This window comes from Homo sapiens, chromosome 7, assembly GCF_000001405.40.
Source record: "Homo sapiens chromosome 7, GRCh38.p14 Primary Assembly".
NCBI lineage: Eukaryota > Metazoa > Chordata > Mammalia > Primates > Hominidae > Homo > Homo sapiens.
Genome location: NC_000007.14, coordinates 113,460,870 through 113,470,359, shown reverse-complemented (window position 1 = coordinate 113,470,359; position 9,490 = coordinate 113,460,870).

The following is a 9,490-nucleotide window of genomic DNA, read 5'->3' as shown; positions in this document are numbered from 1 at the left end:
TTTGTAGGGGCATGGATGAAGCTGGATACCATCATTCTCAGCAAACTAACACAGGAACAGAAAACCAAACACCGCATGTTCTCACACATAAGTGGGAGTTGAACAATGAGAACATATCACAGGGAGGAGAACATCACACACTGGGGCCTGTTGAGGGGTGGGAGCCAAGGGGAGAGATAGCATTAGGAGAAATACCTAATGTAGATGACAGCTTGATGAGTGCAGCAAACCACCATGGCACATGTATACCTATGTAACAAATTTGCATGTTCTGCACATGTATCCCAGAACTTAAAGCATAAAAAAAGAACATGGATTAATTTTTTCACAGTTCTGGAGGCTAGAAGTCCATGATCAAGGTCCTGAAAGGTTTGAACTTTTCAGAGGCCTCCTTCCTTGGTTTGCAAGTGGCCGCCGCCTTTCTATGTCCTCAGTCAGGGTTGTCTATGTTCTAATCTTCTCTTCTTATAAGAACATCAGTTAGATTGGATTAGGGCCTACTTATAGGACTTCATTTCACCTTAGTTATCACTTTCAAGGCCCTCTCTCCAAACATAGTCATTTTGTGATGTGCTTGGGATTAAGACTTCAACATACTAATTTTGGGGGATGCAGTTCAGCCCGTAACAGCACCCCCAATATAATATGATGAGAAAAACATTTCAATTCTGTGGTATTAGGTCCTATAAATTCCTAATTTAAATCTAGCCGCTAGAAAACCATCAGACAAACCAAAATTAAGGAACATTTATAAACTATCTTACCAGTACTCCTCAAAATATCAAGGTCATCAAAAACAAGGAAAGTCTGAGAAACTATTGACTAGAGGTAACTAAGTAGACATAACTACTAAATATGATATCCTGGATGGTATCCAGAAAGAAGAAAAAGGACATTTGTGGGAAAATGAGTGAATCTTAAACAAAGTTTGGAGTTTAGTAAACAGCAATATACCAATGCTTGTGTTTTTAATTTTGGAAAAATGTAGCACCAATGTAATATTTTAATAATAGAGGAAACCCCATTAGTAATATATGGGTATTCTCTGTACTATCATTGCAATTTTTGTGTTAAAATTCTATTCTACTCTAAAACAAAAAGTTAATTATAAAATTAGTCTGTTCCCTATTGTGTCTAAATATGTTGAGACCATTTAGAATAAGAATATGGTTTGACCCCTTAAAAGTCTAGTGTTGGAAGAAATTATAAAACTCTATAATGAATGCCATTTGAAATCAAAGGGAAAAATGGAGAACACTGGCTGTTAAGAAAACTTTGTATGATTGAGTGGTAATGATTCTGGGATTTATTTCAGGTTTTAAAGATATGGGAAAGAGGTAGATATGGGGAAGTAAAAATATGCCAAAGAATTTCCCTTACCAGTAACTTATAAAATGAACAGTAATAATTAAAATTTTAAAATTAGTAAAAACTCATTAGCAACAACCATAAAAAGGAAGAAAACCATTATACATTCAAAAAGTGGTGGTTAATGGAAGAAACAGAAAATTATAGTTTGGAACCCTCTAATATGTTGGCCCTACCCAGAAGGTAAATATGAGAGAAAAAGTTGAATCTAAAAATTGTTGAGATGTGTCACTGATATTCTTTAGTTTAAGGAGAAAGTAACTAAAGAACTAAAGAAGCAGGACTGAAAAAAGTCAGAGGAAACCCTACAAGGTATAAACCTCTCCAGGTAGGTATGGGACCTGAGAGAGGCAGTAAGGCAGCTGGGGGCTACTATCTCCCAGGGCACTGTCCAGAGTTAGGTAACAATCTAAAACCTAGAAAATGGGACATAATGGTTAGGTGGAGTAGGACTTTGCAGAGGACAGCTAATACAGAGTTCAACTCAGATCACTCAGAAAGGGTCATTTTCATCTCCAAGAACTACTGTCTCTCCCCATCCAACCCTTAATACTTAAAAAAATTGAATTAACAACAAATCTCGTCCTTCAAACCATAGCCCAGAAGAGGGTAGAAAAACTGGTACCTGATAAGGACATCAAAGATAATATACCACCCTGTAGCAGAATAAATAAAAAAAGAGCTATGCTGATTAATTATGACGAAGAAGAAATTTTATTGCAACAGTGCTAATATACTAGAGGAAAAGAAAAAAGGAGGGGAGGAAGGAAAGGAAAAAGGGAGGAAGGAGGAAGGAAGGATAAAAGAAAGTAACATATTATGAATGTGCTCGGGCAAGACCTAGCATGGAAGGAAACATAACCCAAGAAACTAAAGCGAATTCCTCATGAATGCCTTATGTCATAGAAAATCTTAGTTAGGATCTAAGAGTTCAAAAGCAAGAAGATAAAGCAACAGAAAGGACTAGACAAGGAAGCTACAGACCAAAGGAAACAGATTAAGAACCACTGCAAATGAACAATCCAAACCTATCATTACAGAACTAATATATTAGTTAGAGCCTATAAGGGGCAAAATAGACTTATCTAGTTTTTGAATTAATGACTTGCAATAACCACAGTAAATAAAGAAGAAAGAAAAGAAAGCAATCAAAGAAACAATGACAGACTTGATGACAAAAGCAATAGAATGTAAAGATAATTGTGATTTGAAGTAGAAAACTCAACAAATTGAACTAAAAATGCACTTAAAGATATGATACAGAATATTTCCATGGGTGAAATCTTCATATTTTTGAGAAAAGCTGACAGAGAAAAATCAACAGCAAATACACATTGGTTAGGTAGTTCAACTTCAAAGATAAATAAAGAGTTCTCCAGGGCACCTGAGAGAATAAAACAAGTTTTCTACAGGAAACAAAAGGAGTGTGGCCTAAGAATTTTTTTCTGAAGTTTATTCTCAGACGATAATGGAGCAAAGTCTACATATTCTGAGAGAAAGTATGACACAAAAGTATGTATCCAGCCCAGTTGTCATTTAAGACAGTGATACAGTAAATATGACACGAACAGCAGTGTTCATGACAAAGGAGGAGGAGAAGGAAGAAATTCTAAGAGTTCACCCCTTTGTCTTCCAAGAAGACCTATTGGTCCATCCTTACTAAGTATAGATATGGATTTTTATGAGCTCCATGCTTTGGTTTTCTTCCTTAATCTTAGAAGGTTTTTTAAAATTTATTTTTTGACAAAAATTATATACTTTATGTACAACTTGTTTTGAAATGTGCGCATATTGTGGAATGGCTAAATTGAGCCAATTAACATAGGTATTACCTCACATACTTTTTATTTTTTTTGTGGTGAGAACACTTAAAATCTATTCTCAGCAATTTTTAAGAATACCATACATTATTATTAACTATAGTCCTTTGAAAGTTTTTTCTTTTTATAAATAATAATCATTTGGTAAGGAAACATTTATTTCAAGGTTAATAATTCCTTCAGTTTCACTTGTTTTTTTTTCTGTTAGATTCAAAAAAATTAAATTTAATATTTTTTATCTTTAAAAAAGCATGTATTCTATCATCCAATTCTTAAATAATTATATCTGGCTCACTTTCTCTTTTCCTCTGTTTATACACATAGAGATTGGAAAATGTTTCCCAAATATAACACTGGTGTATAAACAAAGGGAAACAGTGTGGTGGGATTTTGGATGAGTTATCTCTTCTTTGTGCCTCTTGAAATTGTTGCATTTATTTTTAAGATAAGCAGGCATCATTTTATCTAGAAAAAAAAGTTGTTATCTTTAAAAACTACAGCTACATGAAGAAAAGAACAAAAATTATCCTTTTTTATTCTTTCTTATGCCTTTGAAAAAAAAACAGTGAAATGCGCACAGGAAAAGGCTGTTTGCAGTGTGGTTTTAGATTAGAAGAGTATTTCACCTTCAGAAGGGTTTGCGCATTAGTAAGAGTTGGGTCTCTGTCTGAGGAAGTCCCACAATGAAGTACTCTCTGTTTAAATAAGCAACAATTAAAAGCACCGTAAGGGCAGTTTATGCCAAAAATGAAAATCAACTTCCTGAGAGACCATGGTCAAACAGAACAAAAGGTTCTATGCCACACCTGGAAGTCACCTAGAAAAAAGAAAGTAAAAGTTGTTCTATGATTAAAAAGCAAAACAGTGAAAAGTAAGCAATAGTTAATAATGGGCAAGTTCAATGGCAAACTGTACTTAAAGTTATCAAGAACTGGCAATTGAAATTTATTACAGGGAGATTTGTAATTTTTATTAAGAATTCCAGTAAGCTCCAGATTTCTGGGTATGTGAATTACTAGGAAGGAATTTGCTCTTTTCAGGCCAACATTTGATTTTTTTAACGATGTAATAAGGTCAGTAGATCATAAGTCTCCATTATCTTACCTTACATTGACCCATTTAATGACTTTGAAATGTATGAATTAGGCCCTGTCAAGGATTGGACAAAGATTACTATGACTTTGCTCTTTTTTTTTTCCATTTAAACAATGTCTGTGCACTGTTTTCATAATTCTAACTTTCTCCTTACTTCTCAACAATCCATTCTTTCCTTTCTACCCCTTGTAGAATAATTTCCATTGTCTTCACATATAGTAGAGGATTTTAGGATCTGTCCTTGAGTAATTATAGGAGATACATGCATATAATTGCCTAAAGCCCCCTATTAATAATCTAGGAATGACCATTAGAGTTTACATCTAACAACATTGAACTAAATCTCTGCTAACGGAAGGGCACTTTCAGGACCAAGACTAATTATTCCCAGATCAATCCCTACGTGTCTTGTGCAAAAATTATTTCCTGGTCAAATAAATTTAGGAAAAAAAATCCATTCCGTGTACTTCCCTTGATGGGCCCCAAAGCAGTGTAGGATATTAAAGACTTTGAGAAAGTCTCAAGAAAGGCACAACTATGGTTTTGTTTAGTCTATGCTTATTTCATCTGAGACCTGTTTCCCAGCCCCTATTTCCCACATCATTTCAGCAGCAGAACACACTTTGGAATTTCATCTAGAATTTTGTGTTTTCATGTTGTTATCTTTGCTGTAATAATTTTTTATTTATCTTTCTGTATTTTCTATTCTTTATGATGGCTTAGATTCAATATTCTGTCTTTCGAAGGGCATGATTTTCCATGTAGCTAAGCTTTGCCTATGTTCTTTGGACTTACTACTGATAAATAAGTTTTTGTTTCATCAGGGGTTTTCTGCTTTACTTCATACTCTATCTGAACCAATGCTCTTCTTGTAGCAAATTATTAAATAGTTTTTTTAATTTCATATAGTTTTGTCTCCTTTTACAGACATAACATTATTCAGATTGCAACGATCAAATCACAATCCTCTCTAAGCTCCAACTCAATATGAGATCTCCTCTTATGTTGTTATTACAACTCATTTCTGCCCTTTAAGTCTCTTAAGTTACCTTTAGCAATTTTGATTTAATCAATGCATTCGGTAAACAAAGAAATTAGTAATCTTCTGCAGATATTCGTTTACCACCTAAATATTTGTGAAGCACTTGCCACATTGCAGCCACTATGCAAAGTGCTGGGGATACCATGATGAAAAGAACCCAAACATATAAGGTCTCATGTCATTACTATCTAACACTGGAAACATACAGTAATTATAAATGGGCAAAGTATAATAAAAGAGAAGTATAAAGAGTTACAGGGCCATATAATGAGTTAACCATGCTAGTCTGAAGGACCACAGGCTTCCCATGATTTTTAAACCGAGAGAGTCATTCATTAAACAAGTACTTATTAAGTACCTACTCTGGCACCATGCTAGAATTGGAGATGAAACATTAAACAGAAGACATAATCTTTGCCCTTGTGAAGACTTAAGTTTCATTGGAATGTCAGAACACATAAATAAACTTTAAGTCATGAACTATAAGAAGTAATAGGTAGTGAATAAACAAAACATAAGGAAAACAGAGGACCTGCCAGGGTTGTTCTGGGGAGTACTCTCTAAACAACAAAATCTAAGCTGAGAACCCAAGAATAAGAACCTAATCATTTTTGGATTTAGAGAAGGTGAGTTTCTGGCAATACAAGTGGCAAGGGCAAAGGCCCTGCAGCAGGGGAGAGTTGGCCTGAGTATGCTGGCATTATCAGTCAGGTGAGCAAGCGACAAGAGAGTTCCATTAGATGAAGTTGGACTTGTGCCCCTATGTGGGTCATGGCAAGAGTGACTGTTTTACTCCAATTAGGAAATTATCGATAGGTTTTAAGAGGAGTGGCATAATATGATTTAGATTTTAACAAAGTCATTTGGTTTCTACCTGGAGAATGTATAGGAGGGAGCCAAGAGCAGAACTGGGAGGCCAGTACAGATGATGTGAAAACAATCAGAAGAAAAGATCACAGTGAAGGAGTTGGAGAAAAGAGGAACGGCAGTCCAAGCCTCCTGCTTTAGTAACACATTAGATGGTGGTGTCATTTGCTGAACTAAAAAAGACTGGGGGATATCAGGTTTCTGGCAGAGAGAAATACAATAAAACTTTTTAGAATATGTTAAGTTTGAGATGTCTCTGACACATCCGAGTGAGACCTCATGTAAGATATTGTATTTACAACTCTGGCTTTTAGAAGAGCCTCATCTGGTATTTTAAGTCAAAAAACTGATGATCACTTGAGGCCAGGAGTTCGAGACCAGCCTGGCCAACATGGCAAAACCCCGTCTCTACTAAAAATACAAAAATTAGCTGGGCATGTTGGCTCGTGCCTGTAATCCTAGCTATTTGGTGGCTGAGGCACGGGAACCACTTGAATCCATGAGGCGGAGCTTGCAGTGAGGTGAGATCACATGCACCACTGCACTCCACCCTGGGCGACAGAGTAAGACTGTGTAAAATCAAAAACAAAACAAACAAACAAAAAATACCTGCTGAAATTACCTATCCTATAGAGCTATAGAGAGACCATAACAAGAGAAGAAAATGGACCCAAGGACTTAGTCCTGAGAAAATCCAACCAGTAGATTTTGGGTAGCAAAGAATCAGAAAAGCCAGTCAGTTAATGAGGTAGGAAGAAAATTGAGTCTATTTCTGCAGAAATGAGAGAAGAAAGTGTTCAAAAATAATAGAATTCCATGTCTGATTAAATATTGCTGAGAGGTCATGATAAGGATAGAAAAATTTCCATTTGATTGTGTCACATGGAGGCTTTTGCTTATCATGACCTGGGCATATATCTGAAAAAATGAATGTGAATAGTTTAAGTAAAAAGAAGGGCAGGAGAACATCCCATTCAAAGAAAACAATGTATGTGAAGTCTCTAGATGGAAAAGGAAGAGGCCAAGGCACCAGAGATCCTGTATGAATGAAACGTGGGCACAGAAGAGAGAGAAGAGGCTAACACAGGAGGGAAGAGATTTTATTAAGTATGGGGGATATCAATGTCAATATGGTATGTCTTATCAATATAAATAATATTTCCCCAAAAAAAAATTTGCTATGTGAAACTGGGGAGGTAGAATTAGGTAGAATATTCTAGAGAGAAGATATACCGGGTACAAAAGCCCAGCGCTAGGGAGCAGTATGGTACCCTTAGAGCATTGAAGTACTTAGCCAGGCTGAAGTGGAGCATGTTGTGGAGTCTTGAGAGGAAATATTCTACAGGGTAGCTGGGGATCAGTCAGTCATGAGGGACTGTGGGTGCCATGCTTAAGTTTGTGCTTATTCTATAGACAGTGGTAAGACACTGGAGAACTCTAAGCAGCTGAATGAGATAATGTGATGTATAATGATTAAAATTTTGAAAAGATAACTCTAGCAACAGTGTGGGAAATAATTTGGGGTTGGGGGTTGGGGGAATAAGACTTGAAGCAAGGAGACCATTAAGGGGACTATTGGAATATCAGGTAGAGGCAAGAAATGTTGACTGTCTGAATTAAGATGATGGCTATGGAAATAAAGAAGGAAAACACAAATTCTCAAAATTTTAAAAAAGTGGAAATGAAAAAAATTAATATTTGGAGGTAGGGTACTGTGTAAAGAGATTTTCAAGGTAGTTCCCAGGATTTAGGCTTGGGTGACCAGACGGATCTTAATACCATCTCACAAAATGGGAAGTGAGTATATCAAGCAGCAAATAAAGAGAATGAAGATTTCCATGAGGACAAAGAGTAGATGTCATAGAATATGAAGTGAAGGAAGAAGTGGAAATACAGAAGCTTATAGTCTGAAAATGAATTATTAGAATTTGGGATTTTAAGGTAGGAGTTTTTCTAAACAATGAAATGGATCAAGATTTGTTATAGAAGAATAAAAAGACACAAAAATAAAATGGAGCTAGATAACTTGATTAGAATTTTTAAAAGTCACATGCCCAATTGTTCTGAACATATGTTCAAGATGGTTGGCAATATAACTGGAAGCTTTCTAGAGGATAAAGGTAGAAACAGAATGAATTACAATGTTTATGGTATCTTTAAGATACAAATCAAAGAGTTGTTCATCAGAAGCCCAGCTTTCCAACATTCTAGGACTAGAAAAATTTTTTTCCTTTGAATTCTCAAAAGAGGACACTGACTTTGGTTTTATAACTGGGGTGTGCTTCCTCTGATAGTCATGCGAAGTACCTGTTACTACTTAGACCCATGGGATAAACACAACACATCTCTGTGGAATTGAAATTTATTTGAAAATTTAGAGGAAAATTATAATCATTTATTTGTATTAAAATAAACATGTATGTATGTAGTAGCAGAAAATAATAGGTGAGCTTTTAAGACAAAATATGGGTCAACAATTAATTTCTACACTTACAGTCGCATTCCTAAACTGAGAGATATCACTATATCCTCCTCCATCTTTTGAAGGTTATAGATATTCAGTGCTTTTCAAATTTTTCCATTAATTTAAACACTAGATAGGTAAGATCTTAATAGTAATCACTGTTATGGATTTTATATAGATTTTTGTTCTCTCGATGGAGGCTGGTGGTCCAATGTTAATGAAAGTAATACATTAGGGGCCAAAACAATGCAGAACACTACTCAGTTCTCTCTTGTTCTGACTTGAACCAAGGAAAAATTTTGTCATGGGTTGTAATGCATATATTTCACATAGTTTTTCAAAAGTGTTATTTATTTTAACACAATTTTTAAATGAGATTGGGCAACAGAGAGTTCAAGGTTATATTATTTGACAAGTATCTGGAGTGTAATTATATTATATTGCCAGTTACAAGTTGGTTTATATGCACTGGTGATCAAAATTTTAGGTAGGAATTTAGGTTAACAGAACCTAACTCATAAAAAATATGTGCCTGAAAAGACACTTCAAGGAGATGAGCTGAGGCATAACAGAAAGCTCACTTGAGTGTAAATGATTCCATGAGCAAAGACAAGATATCCTCCGAAAAGAAATTTGCATCCATTACAACTTATAAACAGATGGATAACCAAATTTCCAAAGGATATATCAAGAACATGGCCATGATAATTCTAAAATAGAAAAAATAAATTTAAGTAAGTGCTACTAAACACCTGCTATAGACTTGGGAACAAATCTTCAAAAATCATTTGAGAAATTGTTTACATTTAAATAAGTAAACTGATTGCACAATGT